This window comes from Homo sapiens, chromosome 14 (genome assembly GCF_000001405.40).
Source record: "Homo sapiens chromosome 14, GRCh38.p14 Primary Assembly".
Classification (NCBI taxonomy): Eukaryota; Metazoa; Chordata; class Mammalia; order Primates; family Hominidae; genus Homo; species Homo sapiens.
This window is the reverse complement of record NC_000014.9, coordinates 100,844,985-100,861,570: the sequence shown is the minus strand read 5'-3', so window position 1 is coordinate 100,861,570 and position 16,586 is coordinate 100,844,985. Positions and strand designations below refer to the sequence as shown.

Here is a 16,586-nt window from a genome sequence, read left to right as displayed (position 1 = left end):
CAGGGATGGGTCTGAGGCTCCACCTTTGCAGCCCTGCTCAGGAGCCTACACACAGAGCCTTGCTCAGGAGCCATTTTGAGGAATGAGTTTAGCCACAGCCTGGCTGGGCCATCTTGGCCATCGCTCAACATCAGTTCAAGCATGATGACCACTCAGCCCAGCCCTGGGGAATGTGAGAAGAGGAGGAGGAAGACTCAGAGCCCCAGGGGAGCTTCCTCTCTGGGGCTCCAGGAACTCACGCAGTGAGCTCAACTCAGAACCCCTCTCCACCACCACCTCCTCCTGTACAGTCCCTTCTGGAAAGAAGCCTGGCATCCCACGATCAGTAGAAGGAGGGGACCAGAGAGATGTTAGTTCATCCAAGCACGTGTCAACCTCCGGACCTCCAAGAGCCACCCTCCCCTTTGAGAGCCCAGTGGGCAGGGTAGGGTGCTGGCAGGTGTGTGGGGTTCAAGTCGGCCCCCGCCCTCCCACCCATCACACTACCCAGCGAGACAGGATGCCCAACACTCGCCCCTCCTTATATTAGTAGCACATCCATCAGTTTTTGTTAAGACAGGAAACACATTTATTGAGAGCACAGTGGGGTGCGCCAAGCCCTGTGCTTTGGAACCGCATCACAGCGCCCCTCACAACAGCCCTGTGAGGTAGGTGAAGGAGCCCACTTCCCACATGCAGACACTGAAGGCTCAACAGCTCCCCTAGGCCTCAGGGTTCCTGCGGGGTGGGCAGGGGTCCAGCCCACGGGTCTGACCCCAGGTCAGCGGCGTCCATCAGTCAGAGGGCGGGTCTCTACTCAAGGGGAGGCCCCGGGTCCAGAGTCTCTGGGTCCAGCCTGTCCCGTGGGAATAGGTGCAGGGTGTCCCCGTGGCTGTGGAGGCTGAGAGAGACACAGTTGCAGATGAAGGCCACCTGCTCCCGGCCTCGCTGGCCGACAAGAGTTCACAGACAGACAGGCAGGCCCCAGGAGGGAGGGAGAGGAGAGCAAGTCCCTGCTCACGGGCTCCTAGCAGCATGGAGGGTGAGGGGAGCACCCAGCCACCAGCTCGGCCTGTCTACCTAGTGCCCCTCAACTTCTGGCGTACCCTGCCCTACCTTAGACTCGGCCCACTTGCAGAAACTTCTGGAAGCATCACTCTAGTCCTGACGCCCACCTACAACTGGCAACCTCTGGTTTCTCTCACCTTGATAACCCAGAACCCAGGACTCTCAGCCTCTCTAAATGCTATCCCCAGCTCTTCTGCCCAACCTATCCAGCTTTGATGTTTTTCCTAAAACTCGGTCTCTTCCTCCTCCTGAGGGCTCTAAACATTTCCCCTCGGATCCTCTCCTGTCTGAACCTGCTGAGTGTATTTAAAAGCAAACACTTCCCTCTGCCACTGTCTCCCCAGAGCAGGCTGGTGCTTTCCCCCTTGCCCTCCACTCTGCCCAAGAGTCCCTGGGACCAGCGCAGACAGTTCCAGGGAGCACAGGGCCTCCGCAGCCAGCACCCAGCGGTCCGGGCCCACCAGGAGAGCCGGGATGAGAGCGCCTGTGTGCCAGTCACAAAGCGTTTATTTCACACAAACAATCTCATTGAAGCCCACAATAACCGTGCCAGGCAGGTGTGACGCTTTCCAGGTTACAAACAACAAACTCGCCCAGGCCACACAGTCAGAAGGGGTTGCGGGGGCCTCGAACCCAGACCTTGAGTCTCACGAGCCAGCCCACGGCATGCAGCGAGAATTCTCAGGGGTCACAGCCGTCTCCCAAGCGGACACTGTCATGAATTACCCTGTTTCTAACGGGTGGGAAAATCGAGGCTCAGGGTGATTCAAGTAACCTACCTGGTACCCATGTACCATTCTTTGGGGATGAGACAGTTAAAAGGAATCAAGCTCTGGGGTCTTAAGCCCCCACCCCACCCCTCCACCCCCGGTTTTCTGGATGTCTAAAGCTGCGTCCCGAACCTGGCAGGTGCCTCACAGGTCAATGCTGATTGTCACCAACGGTGGGGACAAAGACTTCTCAGGTAGAACAGCCTCCTCCCAAGGCAGGGGCTTCTGAAGCCTCCAGCCTCAGGGAGGGCATGGGGGGCGGAGGAGCAGGTCATCACTCCGTTTGGAAATTGCCAAATGTATTCTACATTCTCAAAATCACCTGGGCCACAACACCAACAAAGACATGTTGGTCCAGATGAAGTTTTATCCTAGATACAAATATTTCCAAAATATTGTGTTTCCACTGGGGGGAAACCCACCAGTGACTGCCTGTCCCCGGCAGGAAGGGCAGTGAGGCCCCAGAACAGGTAGAGACCCATCCCCAGTTCAGCGTTTCCTCCGAAGAGTCTTTGCCAAGAAACACACCCTTTCCTTTTAAACAAATGCGCGTACGCTAGCCAAACAGCCCACTCAGCTCTTTCCAGCCATTTAAACCCTGCCCTCCACAGGTGGCGAGCATCTATTATGTGCCTACTAGTGCAGGAGGCAGGGTGTAAAGGGCCAGGGCAGTGTGGGCCTCAGAGGAGGGGTTCAAGGGCAGCTTCGTGGAAATCTCCCTGAGCCTGTCTCCCCACCCGTCCTCAGGAGACCAGGACCCAGCCCCGCCCACCTCCAAGGGACACTAGGTGCCTGACAGAGCCCCCCAGCCTTAGGTCACACACAGGCCTGGCCTGAGGGGACCCCAAGGCCCACCCAGGAATCGACACCTAAACACAGACTCAGAATCTCCTGGGAGGGGCTCCCTACTGTGGAGCCTCTTGGGAGCAATAGGAGGGGCCCCCTCTGCTTCCAAGTTCTCAAGAACAGGGGATGGGCATGAGGCAGACACCAAAGGCCACAATGAAAGGGCTCCTTAGCAAAGCCCAGGGGAGGAGAGAATCAGGGGACCCACGTGGGTGCTTCTGGGAGCAGGCATGGCAGGGGCCAAGGTGTGGCGCCCAGACCTCACGGTAAAGCTCAGGCTGAGAAAGAAGAGGCGGGTGGAAGAGAGCCGGGGCAGCAACAGGCGCAGCAGCCTGCCCGCCAAGGCTGTGAAAGCTGGAGACAAAGAGTGGGGGCAAGGGAGGCTTGCGTGGGGTGGGGGCCGTGAGTGGGGAGTGGGGAGCAGAAGGAACACCCAGCTCAAACCCCCACCAGCTGGAATGTGGGGATGTGAGAGCCAAACACTGCACCCCCACGTGCAAGAGACGAGGGCTGAAAAAGGAATACGGTGGTCTGGTGAAGAGATGCCTGATCTGAAAGGACCCCTGCGTGGGATGTCTGGAGACCCCTGCCACTGCAGCAGCACCTCCTCTAACGCAGCTGAGTCCCCTGGAGGGCACAGCCTCCTTCCTCATCCCTGCACTTCTCTGCCAGAGCACTCCTGGGCTCTTGGCAGGGGTGGGGACGCACCAGGCTGCATTTGCTGGGGGCTGGCAGGGGTGAGCCGGACCAGGCAGGAGGCCTTATTTGGTGGACTCAAAAATGCACAGGTTGTTTGTGCAAGACTGGGAAGTCCTGGCTCTGATACCAGCTGTCCTGATTCTCAGCAAGCTCATCTAGGAAATGGGCCCACACCCCAGTTAGAGAAGGGAAAGTGTGTACAAGACCCCCGAGCTTGGTGCCAGGCCCAGGGAAGGTGGCAAAGCCTACCTTCTGCACCTTCTACCAGAGACAGAAAAGGGCTGTGAGGAAATTCAGAGCGCAGGATGGAAGCAGGGTTGGTACCCCAAGGATGCCACCCAGAACCCCTTCCTCATCCTCTCTCTAGGTCACCCCACTCCTTCTCCCTAACAAACGAAAGCAGGGGCATACATGAATGTTTGCAGAAACCCCTCCGGGCAGACAGATCGTCCCCTCACGGCAGCGACAGGTACAGCAAACCCCAAAGCACAACGGCCCTGCCAGCTACAACCCGCTGGGGAGAAGCAGCAGCCCACGTTGGAATGGGGGGCAGGGCAAACTCTGAGGAAGGAAAAAGCCATCACTCATCAATCAAACAAATATTTACTCTGGGCCCACATCGCTAAGCACCTGCAGGCTGCTCTGCCAGTGGTCTGCACATGCCACTGACTGTGGGAAATGCAATCCCAGCGTAAGGTCAGGGCTGACTTTTTATTCACTTAGGACTAGTAAAGCCATCACTCATGCTTTCAAGACAAATCCCAACATATGCCCATTCCCAGGGAAAGCCAGCATCTGCACACTGTTGAAACACACCCACCCTCGGCCCTCACAACAGCCCTGTGAGGTAGGCTTTCAGGTGACCTATGGCTTAGAGAAAAGGAGATTGAGGGTCAAAGAGGCAAAGGGTTAATTAAGTGGCCCCTGGGTCTGCCAGATCCTAAGGCTACGCGCTTTCTAACATAAAACACAGATTCGCATCAGACAGCTCAAGTTCCATCAACATGACGCCGAAACAAGGCTCCTGCTCTTCAAACGTGGCATACAAACGTCCGTAAGATACAATATGGTGGTTGTTAACAGGTCCATGAAGAGCAAAATAATAATCTCTTAGTAAAGGTTATAAACATCAAGGCTTGTCATTGGTTACAATTTCATTAGCTATCCATCCATTCAACAGAAAAGAAACGTAAGCGCTACCACTCGCCAGGCACTGTGTTGGGCACCCAGCCTGCTGCATTTGAGCCCAAATGTTGTCAGTTGGGGGGAGGGGTGGGGGAGGCAACAATGCAGTATCTTTGATGGCTGGTGCCTAATATTTTGGGGAAAAGGACGCCACCCAGAAGGGCCTTTTGAAGGCGGACACAAGTAGGTGCTGCACACAGGCCAGGCACAGAGGCAGGAAGCACACAGCATTCAGAAAGCACAGCCAGGCGTTTCCAGCCTCTCAGAGGTGAGCGTGAACGCGTACCCCCGGGGGGTCCAGGGGCATTGTCCAGCGAGTCCCCCAAACCCCTAGCATGAAAGTTCCTGCCCAAATTCCTCCTGTCCCACCATATACCCCTCCAGGTTTAGAGATAAATGCTCTCCCACTCAGCTGCCTGAGTGAGGCTGTCTCCCTGGCCTTTTCTCCTCACTCCCCTGGCACACCCCCGGGGACACGCACACCGCCCTTCCAGAATCACAGTTCAAAATCACGGTTACATTGCTCCTCACAACAGCCCTGCGAGGTAGGTGCCGCAGTCCTCCCCCGTAGGCAGACTCAACTCCAGCTCTCACAGTGACTTTAAACCACACGAGTTTGTCCAGTTCCAGGGTCTTGGCTTTGCCTACTCTCCTTCCTCTCCAATGCAATGAATGACATTCAGAATTCCAGGTTGAACCCCCAAGACCTATGCCTCACCCCCGACCCAGGCAGCAGGAACTCAGGGAGTTCTCACCTGGTCTGGGACCTGCAGGACAGCTCGGAGCTGCACCCAGAGTTTGCAAAATGCCACGTGCCTTGGACACCCAGGTTTGCCTATGGAGTGTTCTATGCAGACCCCTGCACGGGAGGTGATTCTTATCACCCACATGAGCAATCATCTCCCCCAATTTTCTCTAAACAGAGCTGGGCATTAACTCCTCTTGAAAGGGGCAGGAATGGCTCCAAGATCACCTCCAGGAAAGGCCAGAGTGTTCTAATGACTTGAAAACCTGCTCCCGGCCAGAAGCAGCCACTCATCTTGGAACCCCCTGGCTCTCATTTTGGCCTCTCGAGGATATGGGCTGTGATTTCTGAGCACCCAGGGAACACAGTTGGCTGATTCCTAATCAACCTAGTTGTACAGGGGACAAAGTCAGAGGGGCAATCAAACTCGCAACAGAACTCGAATCTACAAGCCTGACCTGACTCAGGGATCTCGCCTTGTCACCGACACACAAGCACGGCCCCTTTACCAACGTGTTCATTGTTTTGTTTCAAAAGGCAATGCGGCAGCGGGTCCTTGGGAGCCAGCTCTAGTATAGCACTGGCTAATTTTTTAAAAACGTCTGTTGGCTGTGAGTGAATGAATGAAGGGATGAAGGGATGAATGGATGAGTTACAACCACTGCCACCCTGTGGAGGAAGCTGAAAGGCTGAAAGCAAAGCTCATGGGAGGGACCATGCGCCAGGCAAGGTGAGGCCTGGGGAGGACTTCTCCGCTCATGGGTGGGAGGGCTTGGCCCCAGGCTACTCTTGACCCCGACCCTGGGTCACAGTCGTGGTGTGTGACACATGGAAAGCACCATGGGGAAGAAGCTATGGGTGACAGTGGCAGACGAGATCCAGCTGGGACGTGCTCAGGGCAGTAACCCCGGAGGAGGCAGCTACAAGAAAGGGTGTTTGCTTCATAACCACAGCCCATGGCGCTACACAGCCCACCCAAAATGAAAGGGTTTGCTTTCAGGAGAAGAAAAGGCCAAAAGCACGGGGTCAAGATAAGTAGGCCAAATGCATGGATGGGTAGATGGAGCAATTCATGTTGAAAGTCATTGCCGGCCTCCCAAACTCGGATACCAAGCTAAACATGTGGGTGAGGGATTCTGACACGGGCAAACAGTGCTCAGTGCTATAGTAGAGGGATGGGTGGGCAGAAGCAGCTCTGCTGAGAGCGGAGGATGCTCTGGAAAGAAGGGCGAGCCCTCCTTGGGTGACATGCCCTCCCTAAATGGCTGTGACTGACCTGTGAGCCCTGATGCTTTGGGCAGAACATGCCCTTTATTCCGCTCCTTAGAATGTAATTGCCCCAGGTGAAGAAAAATGAAAGGAGATTCTCCCATCAGTCCTGATCCAAAATGTTCCATTCGTCAGTTAAACCCCAAAGACCACCACTGAGGCCACATGTGCAGGCCAGGGCTGAGGACATTTGCTGACATATCACAGGACGCGGGGAACCCAATTCCCCTAAGAGGTGGGAAAATGGAAACCCCAGGGCCTGGCTTCATCGGGATCTAATAGGAATGAGTGACTGCGCTGGTGGGAAGGCCACTAACTGATTGTACAGGGTGCTAGGATGTGGCTGTCTGGACCTTGGAGGTTCAAAGAGCTATTCCTGTCCCACAGGGGTTTTATCAAGGGCAAGATCGGAGTCCACAAGCACACCCAGGAGGTCCAGCCTGCAGTGTCTACACCTGCCAATGGAAGGTGTCTTTTTCCCCATCACCCACTTCCCAGGGAGAAGCAAATCCTAACATCAAACAGACCTGAAAGGCCACCTAGGCCAACCCCACACCATGAGAATCTCCTAAACACTACTTTCTCTGAGGGCTGCCTGGCTGGTTCCTTGAATGCCTCCAGTGAGCTATGGGCTCCCTACATCCCAAGGACATCTGGGACCAGTCTCTTCAGAAAGCCATGACCCAAAGGACTTGGACAAACAGTTCACAGAAGATAAAATACAATTTGTTAACAAACATAGGTCAAAGTGTTCACCCATCATTAGTAATTAAAGCAATGCAAGTTAAAGTAATGCAAAAGTACTTTATAACAGAGACAAACTAGCCATATCTTAATTAAGTGGTCATACATTGCTGAACATTGTAAAATGCTGTAAGCTTACTGAAATTATTCAACATCCATACAAAGATCCATAGCCTTTCTTTCAAGAGACTTAACCAAAGGAAATTCATTCATTCATTCACCAATCCATCCTTCCGCCTATCCTTCCACCCTCTTATCCATCAGCCAAACACTCACTCACTCGCTCCTTCCTCCATTCTTCCATCCACTCATTCATCATTTATTTATAGTCTACAACATGTTGGGCATCAGAGATACAAAGGCCAATTCAATAAGCTCCTTGCCCTTATGGGGCTCACAGTCTAGCAGGGGAAACTGATCTGTAGTGAAGCAATGATAATTTCTGGGTGGAAGAACATAATTCTTAAGAATGAAAAAAAGGGTGTTTTAAGCAGTTAGTTGTGGCATTATTCATAATATTTTTAAAAGGTGGTTATACATAAGAATAACAGAATGGTTCTGTGAATGATGCCATAGCCACTCAACAAGGCACAACGCAGCAAGTGAGGTTATGAAGATTCATGGAACAAGGGAAAATGTTGATGACAGAAAATTAAATAGAAGAGGCAGGATACAAAAAAAAAAAAGTGTATGTGGTGAATAATGGCAATTAGGTTTTTTTAAAGAAGGGATGCTCATTAAAGAATAGACACTCTTTTTTTAAAAAAAGTATGCCTGTAAGAATGTAAAATGGGTGACATGTCAGAATGTTGAGTGGTGCATGCATTTCCCACTGCTCTAGGTCAAGTGCCATCCACACCATTTATATTAGGAACACAACGGGACACAGCAGGATTCGTGGCCTGTCTATCCCAGAGGTCCTGAGGCCAAGCTTCCCAAGGAGGGAGTTGGGAGTCACAAGAGGAGGCCAAGGAGAGTTGTAGCTCCTGGTGTCACCAGGAAAGGATTTGTGTGTGGGGAGCATGCAAATGACAATGTCAAGAGACAGAATTAATTCTCATTGTTAAAAGTTTAACGAACACATAAAGATAGGCCCTGACCAGACAGGAGCACTAGGATCCCAACTCGGACCTTGTGGGTCTGGTACAGAAAGAACCGGGTAGGGAGCACGTGAAGGATGTTTTATCTCTGGCTTTTGTGCCATTAGGAACCCTATCCCGAATCTCAGCATCCCAGAACTAAAGAACCTTTGAATTACAGATACAAAACTCTTAAGGGTCAAAACCCTAAGAGCCCTGATCCCCCCTCATGGCCTCCACATTTCCAAAAGGACACACAGAATTCATCCAACCCAAACCCACCCAGCCTCCAGGGCACCAGTGGGTCTCCCCAGAGCTGCTCTCATTGGCTCAGTTCGACCCACTGTGACCCGTCAGGACAGCCCCTAGATGTTGGGAGCAGGCTCTCCTAGCAGCCAACGTCGCTTGTTCCTTCCAATTTCCTCTTGGTGCATGCAATGGGCCCTCCCTTCCCCGCCTTCTGCACACTTTAAGTCTTCCTGAGCCTCTGCTGACTTTTTTTAACAGCCGTACATGAGTTCTTTTGAAAGACCCTCCCGGTCTTCTTCTGCCCTGAACCCCTCCCGCCCCATCCTCATCCAACAGTGACACAGCTTGTCAGGGAGAAGCTTCAGCAGGTGTCCCCAGGGATAATAAGTGCACCCCCAGACCTCAGTCCAGCCAAGGCATAGCCTGGAGCCCCAGATTCTGAAAGAGAAGAAGAGCAGACCCCTGAGGCCCCAGCACCACATCAGGCCCACGAGGCCCAGCTCATGTGGCCCTGACACGTGGTACTGGAGGCTCGGAAGGTGGCTCCTGACACATGAATTCCATGTCCTCCGCCTTCCAAATGCTGTTGCCATCCACTCGGCCGGAGCTAGAAGCGTGGGAACCACCCCCTTCTTCTTGCCTCCCTCCCTCCTTCATATCCTGTCTATAACCCCATAGCTTTGATTCCTGAGCACCCCACTTTGCTGCCATCAGCTCAGACCTCAAGCATCACACTAGCTAACAGCCCCATCCATGCCTGCGCCCGCACTCCCCATCCCACCCAGCGTCTACAGAGTCACTCTGAGCATGACGCCTCCCACTCCAGATGGCCTGGCCCCACCCCACTCCCCTGCCTCCCACGTGCTCCCTGCCACAAGTCCTGAGTCCATCCAAGCTGTGCTCCTACTGCTCCGGGCGCTTGTTAAGAATCCAGTGTTTTTATATGTCCCAAATAGGAATTGAGAGGTCAACAAGGGAGACTTTGGTCCTTGCTTTTACAGACAAACACAGGCACACAACACAAAACTACACACATTTCCTCCACTACAGAGAAAGGAGACTCAACAGAACCGGGGAGGCCCTGGGGGAGGACTGTCAGCACGAGCAACTCTCCAGATTTACCCCGGCAGTCCCCCGGAGGGCGAGTCAGAGAAGAGACAACCTCGACACAGCGAAACGCAATCCCGCCAAGTTACAAAACACGTCGTGAAACAGCCGAGAAGACAGAGAGGCCTTGAACCAGGCTCTGGGGATGGCATGTCAAGGAAGCCAGGGTCCCCGGACCACTTCTGCAACCCCAGGGGTGCTGAGGTGCACCTGCTGCCCAGGGAAACCTGAGTTGAGAAGGGTGGGCGCCCTGCCCCATGGAAGACCAGGCCAGAGGGTGGCCTGGGCACACTGCAGAGAGTTGCAAGAACAAGGTTTCTGGTGGCTTGCCCAGGGCTCCTGGGTCCCGGGGCTTCTGGGTCCCCCTTCTCAGGTGCGCCTGGCCACCTTCTGGCCTTTCCCTGCACCAACCCCTGGATGTGAGTAGGTGCCACACCCAGGGTGGCACACAGCAGGCGGGGCCCATGCTCCACCCAGGGCCTATTGCTCCCTGACCCTCTGCTGCCCCCTGGTGGGCAAAACCTCCTGTGCAGGTGACCCATGCCGCGGGAGTGGCCAAGCTACCCAACAGGCTTCACACCACTCGTTCATGCAACCTTCTGCGGGGCTCAGGGTCCAAGCCCTTCCTGCCTATCCAGGCCATAGATGGGGTACCATCAACAGAGACACATAAGATCAACTCTAGTAGGCAGCTGGTGCCACTCCAGGTTTACAGATGGGGAAACTGAGGAAGAGACAGATGCAGTGAAATGGCCCACACAGCCAAGATAGGGCAACAGCACCCCAAGACCAGGGTCTTCCTGAGCCAGCTCCTCCCTGCCAGGGCAAGTGCATGTGACAAGCACATGACATGCCTACAGCCACCCTCCCTGGGGACCACTTCATTCCACTGTCTAGAACACAGGACTGGAAAGAAGGTTCCTTCCTCTCTTCCCTTTTTCCCTCCTTCCTTTCTTCCTACCTTCCTACCACCCTTTCTTCCAGTCATTCGTTCATCCATTTAGATCTGAGTCCTTTGTTTATGGACTTCAGTAACATAGCTTGAAATTAATCATAGCCTTTGGCCTAAAGGCCTCCATTCACAAGTCCTATTTATTGACCGTTACATTATTTTATTCTTTATTCATTTCTTTTTCATTTCTTCCCAAATTGCATCTTTCTTTCTTCCTCTCACTCTTCCTTATGTTTCTCTGGTTCTTTCTCCTTCTTTTTTTTTTTTTCTTTTTTGATCTAAGATAGTGTCTTGCTCTGTAGCCCAGGCTGGAGTGCAGTGGTGCAATCTTGGCTCACTACAACCTCCACCTCCCGGGTTCAAGCAATTCTCCTCTCTCAGCCTCCCGAGTAGCTAGGATTACAGACAGGTGCCACCACGCCCATAATTTTTGTATTTTTTTAGTAGAGATGGAATTTCACCATGTTGGCCAGGCTGATCTCAAACTGGCTGGTCTCAAACTCCTGACCTCATGATCCGCCCACCTCGGCCTCCCAAAGTGCTGGGATTACAGGCGTGAGCCACCATTCCCAGCCATTCTTGGTTCTTATAAAGTCAGGTGGACAGAATCCCATGAATCAGGGCTCCCGGTCACCACCTTCATGCTGGTCCCTAAAGCACTACTGCTCCTACGTCAAGCACCATTCACTCTCTCATCCACTCACTCATTTGTCAGTCTTCCTTATTTTGGGTATTTGTTTTCCTTATTAATTTTTTTAATTAAAACTCCATGGGCAAACCAAACATCTTTGGCCCATGTATTTATTTGCAATCTTTCTTCCCCGCATTTAGTCACCTTTCACGTTTAAGTATTTATTCTTTTATTTATGAACCTCAATTGCATCTATTTTATTACAGTGGCAGAAGATACAGCCTTGTTTTGGAGCCAGGTATGTCTCTCTATTTTTCATTTATTCTTTGAAAGGTGTAATGTATTTATCTGTTTAAGGAGTATGTATGTAAACTAATTATAATCCCTGTTCAGACAACCTCCCTTAACTATCCATTTATCACTTTGGTTGTTTGTTTATTACCTTTCCTTTTTCCTTTTTCACATCTTTTTATATTTTCTCCATTTTCCCTCCCCCTGGGAACCTGGGCCTGGATTATCTCATCCATCTTCAGGATTACTGACAGTCTTATGACTAATCCTAACAGATCCTACTCTTACAGATACACCCACGTATTCGTTCTCTTTTTTATTGGTTTTTCTTTATTTTCCCTTTCGCTTTCATTTAGTTTCATTTTTGCCTTTCCTTAGCTCTATCTTTGACTCCCTGACACTTCTCTTCCTGCCTCTTTTCACGCTTATGGACCTCAGGTGCCCAGAGTGAGATGAATGACAATCCCATGGGCAGCTCCTTCCTGGCTGTGCCAGGCATTTCCATTTCTAATTCAGTCGTTCATGTGTCCATTCATTCTTTCTGTCATTCTTTCATTTCAATACTTATTCTTTTATTTATGGACCTCAGGTGCACAGAATTGGATTAACCATAATCTGCGGTTCCTGGAGCCTTCTGCACACTGGTCCGTGTGGGGCTGTCTTTTGTTTGTTAATTTCTCCCCCTGGGGATTTGGTGCAGGATTTATTTAACTATCTCAGGAACCCAGTTTTGAATTAGTCATAATTCTTGCTGCCTTCTCTCCTCTTTTTGTCCTTGCGTGGTCCACTCTCCCACATATTTATGTCTTTATTTATTCATTCAATATGTTTGTATTGCTTATATACATCCTGTCATACGTTTCCATATTCTCTCCTCTCTTGCTTTCTCTTTTGGGCCTTGAGTGCACAGGATAGTGAAAATCATCCATTCTCATTCGTTCGGCTGAACGAATTCTATTCAGGTCACTCCTCTATTCAGGTATCTGTGCTTTTATTGATGAACCTCAACGTTTACTGTTTATTATATTTAATGGGTAAAACTGTCTCATTATATTTCAGTGCTTGTCCAAGAAGTGCCTTTTCTTTCATATGCCTACTTCACTTTTCCTTTCTTTTCTTACATCTCTCCCTCTCTCGTTCTTCCAATTTTCCCATTCCTCACTCCTTTTCTTGCATCCTATGGAATGCACGCATTTATTCTTTCATTCAGTCTTACACTTGTGGTCATTTAAAAAACAAACTTCAGAGCCACAGGTTTGAATTAATGTGGATGGCTTGTGCTAAACCAGTCCCCTTTCATCAACTTATTTGATCTAATTATTTATTATCTCTTTCACTTCCTTTTTTCTATTTTCATTTTTTCCCATCCTATTGTTTCTTTCCACCACTCCCTCTTTCTTTCTGTCATTCTTTTGGAGATCTGCACCCAGGATCAATGACCCTCATCCCTGTCTACAATGCCCTCCTCATCGGTCAATGCAAATCTTTTCTGTCGTTCAATCATTCATGCATTCACCGTGCATCCATTCAGTCTTTCTTTCTATGTAAATACTTATTTTTACACTTCTCGAAGGCAGGTGCACCTAACTGGATACATCGTAATCTGCAACTAATGGGCCCTCTCTCTGTGGCCCCACTCCTCCCTCCCATGTGTATGCTTTGAGCCGTTCCTTAGTTGAGTAGGTGATTGACCATACCAGCAGCACTGGTGCCAATTAAGCGGTCTGCTTGGTTCACACAGCCTTTCATTCCTGTTCTAGCATGGCTCTGTCTTAAATCTGCATGCATGTATTTATTCCTTAATATATTACCTCTCTTCCTTTCTTCCTTTTTACATTTCTTCCCATTTTTTATTGTTTCTCTCTCTCTCACTCTCTCACTCATTCTCTCTTGCACTTTGTCTTCGGAGCTCATTGCCATGGAGTGGCTTGGCTGTACGCATCAAAAAGCCACCCGCAAACGTCCATCCTTGGCCGTGCGGTTCCACGTCTCACTCATTACTTCCTTCCTGCATTCATAGCATCCTTCCTTCCTGCTTGCTCTCTTTTTATTAGGCATTTATTCCTCTATTAGTGGAGTCAGGTGCCCTTATGACAAGTCCTAGCCTAACTCTTCTCGTGGATCTACCCATTTATCCATTTGGTTGTTATTTCTTTTTACCGTTCCTTTCTCTCTTCTGTCATAGCTTTCCATACCTCCTGTCCTTCATTTTCATGCAGCTGGGGTGCCCAGGGGGGACCCCAACACCCTCATCAGGAGGACCCATGGGGCCATGTCTTCTCATTCACCTCATCCTTGTCTATTTAGGTACTCACTGACTTGTTCACTTAGATGTTCATTATTTAATGGACAGCCTGTGGTTTTCTAGAAGTGGACCAGCCATAGCCCTTAATCTGTGATGATCTTTTGCCACCATCGATCGCATTGCCTTCTTTTACATCTTTATTTACCACCCATTAATGTATTTCTGTACTTAACATTTGTTACATTGTTTCCTATTTCTTTATTTACCAATATTACCTTTCTCATATCCTTTCATCTAACAGACCTCAGTGCCCAGGACTGGATGACTCAAAACCCCTCACAACATCTTGTCACCTGGCGCTGCACTCCCACTGCTCATTCATCCATCCACACACGCAATGTAGACTTTTTGGCCTTTTTTTCTTTCTTTTGTCATTTATTTATTTATGTGCAGACTTCAAGTGCTCAGGCTTAGATAACTTTTGGTAAAAGTACACTCTCATCTTTCGCCCACTGGGTCCTCTTTCTTTCTTTGCTATTCTTTGAACTCGTTCTCTGTGGTTTATTTTTCTATGCCAGGAGCATATATTATTTGTATCAGTCCTAATGCTTAGCTTACAATAGTCTGACATGGTCCTCCTTACAGAGTTACTCATTACTCATCCTCTAGTCTGTTTTTTTTTTTAACCTTTCTTTGTTGTTTTGGTTTTTTAAAAAAAACCTTTCCCTTCTCCCTTTTGATCACTTGTTCCCTAACTTGCATCTTTTCATTTTGACGGGCCTCAAAATCTATGTCTCATTCTGCACTTCACTACTCATACATCCATTCTTTCTTTCATTTAGGTTCTTTTTCATTGTCAAATGTCAGAGGCATATATTTGAGTTACACATACCCCTTAGTCCATAATCACCTGATATCGCTTTGTGTGTTGCCCTATTACTTAGTGATTCACTGGTTTTTTTCTATTTATATATTGATTGCCTAGCCATCAAAGCGGATGAACCATGGTCTTGTGTACACACACTCTCATCCTGGCTTGCTTACTTCTTTACCTATTTACTTGTTTATTCATTCTCTCTTGCTTCACTCATTCATTCATCTGGTCATTTATTATACAATGCAATAGATACCAGTGAAACAACCTCTCAACAACAACAGCAACAAAACTCAGAACATTCACAGTATCTTTGGCATTCCTGCTTCTTCTCACTGAGTCACCAACCAAGGTACACACAGCCCACAGTCCAGAAACACACACAAATGGCGGATGCAGAGCAGAGACACAGTGAATGTTAAGTTTACTCCCAGATCCTTCTGGGGCTCGCGTCCTAAACATACTGGGGGCAGATCTGAGATGAGGGCCCACGTTCCCCAGGCCCCCTGGGCAAGGCAAGCGCCGCCTGTTCTGCCCCTCTGGACCGTGGTGAATGACCATCCCCATGAGAAACCTGTTTCAAGACCCCAGAATACATAGAGACACACACATGGTACATAGTCTCCTGGTGGGAAACGACGGACATGGAGTTCATTTTTAAATAGGTGGCTTTGTCTGTGGCAATATAAAAATATTTTGGCCTTTCAAGGCAAATACAAAAGAAACTACCCATTAACATGGCTGAGTGTCTCAGTCCCAAACAATAAAGAACTTGAAGAGGTTTAGCCGGAAACTTTGAAGACAGAAAATCTGCCCATTATGTTTTCCAGACATTTCGAGGGGGCGAGCGGAGGTCATTGGAGCTTGAAGCCCATTTGGAAGGCTGGTCCCTCGGCCTGCGTTTTCTCCTTGGCCCTTTGAAGGGCCCCCCAGCTCACAGGGCACTTCCATCCTAGTCTGCCCTGCGGCACAAGAGCCAAAGGGAGACTCAATAATGAAAGAGCCATTCATTTAGAAGAGTGAAAAAGAAGAAATTCTTTTGGGGTCCGACATTTGAAGCCCGCCTATAGAATTCTTTTGCCACAGAGACAACACAAGGAGGCAGGGGGCTCCTGTCTTAGAAAACAGGAGCCCCCAGGTCTGCACTTGGCTTGACTCGATGGGCACCCACCTCCCGGTGCACAGACCCCCGGCCAGTGCCCGCCAGCCCCTCCACGAGGTCCGCCTGGCGGTGTGCTCCGGGCAGCTGGCCCCACCCTCAGCAGCAAGGCCACATGTGTGTTCTTTACACTCCAGCCACTTACGATTTCGAGCTGGAGAGGGGCTGGGGTCCCACATTCGAGGTCCCTTCCCACGTAGGCATCCAGGTGATGGCTTCCGCTGTAACAAGAAGGCACTAGGTCACAGAGTAGAACCTCACTCAGGCCGGCGAGGAGGAGGAGGGCGGATGAGGACAACAGCTCTGGGGGGCGGGCAGGGGTGGCCTGGAGCAGAGACTCCCCAACCTCCAGCAAGTGTGGAATTGGAGAAGCCACGCATTTCTCTCCTGACTCCACTCACCCACCAGCTGCCTATGGAGCGGAAGGGGCAGGTGTGGAGACATGGAACAGACTTGGGTTGGTGCTGTTCACGGAGCGAAGTCGTGCTCTGTGGGACCCAAAGGCTTAGGACCCTGCATAGATGAGAAACGGGGGTGGCCCAGGCCCTGAAGACAGGGCATGAACCTGTGCTCTGGCAGAAGCAAGGTGCCCAGGTCGGCGAGCAGGATGGCTGGCCCTGGAGGAGACCAGGGAAGCGGGGTGTGGCCGGGAGGGCAGCCCACAGAGGGCTGCAGGGCTATTAATGGGCAGCGT

General features: G+C 50.5%; 1 long non-coding RNA gene and 1 other non-coding gene across 20 annotated transcripts in view, besides 1 other annotated feature; both read right to left on the bottom strand.

Annotated features, from left to right (window-relative positions):
* Nucleotides 545-16,586, bottom strand: part of MEG3 (maternally expressed 3) — a 34,919-nt gene continuing 18,877 nt past the window's right edge. For 15 of the 19 annotated variants that reach the window (NR_046467.1, NR_046465.2, NR_046472.1 and 12 more), the window contains 2 exons: nt 16,038-16,113; nt 545-880 (listed from right to left, as the gene is read on the bottom strand). This is a non-coding gene — a long non-coding RNA (maternally expressed 3). Of the gene's footprint in view, nt 881-7,265; nt 15,696-16,037; nt 16,114-16,586 lie in introns of those variants that run through there. The other 4 variants (NR_190996.1, NR_190995.1, NR_190994.1 and 1 more) reach the window with 2 other exon arrangements.
* Nucleotides 6,112-6,613: an enhancer, noted in NCBI's record as "H3K4me1 hESC enhancer chr14:101321295-101321796 (GRCh37/hg19 assembly coordinates)". NCBI's record gives its function as "activates a minimal SCP1, AML or CMV promoter by ChIP-STARR-seq in primed H9 embryonic stem cells {active_cell/tissue: H9 hESC(primed)}" and the evidence as "EXISTENCE:reporter gene assay evidence [ECO:0000049][PMID:30033119]".
* Nucleotides 9,084-9,181, bottom strand: MIR770 (microRNA 770). The gene has a single exon (NR_030528.1). It is a non-coding gene; the product is annotated as a microRNA 770 (primary transcript).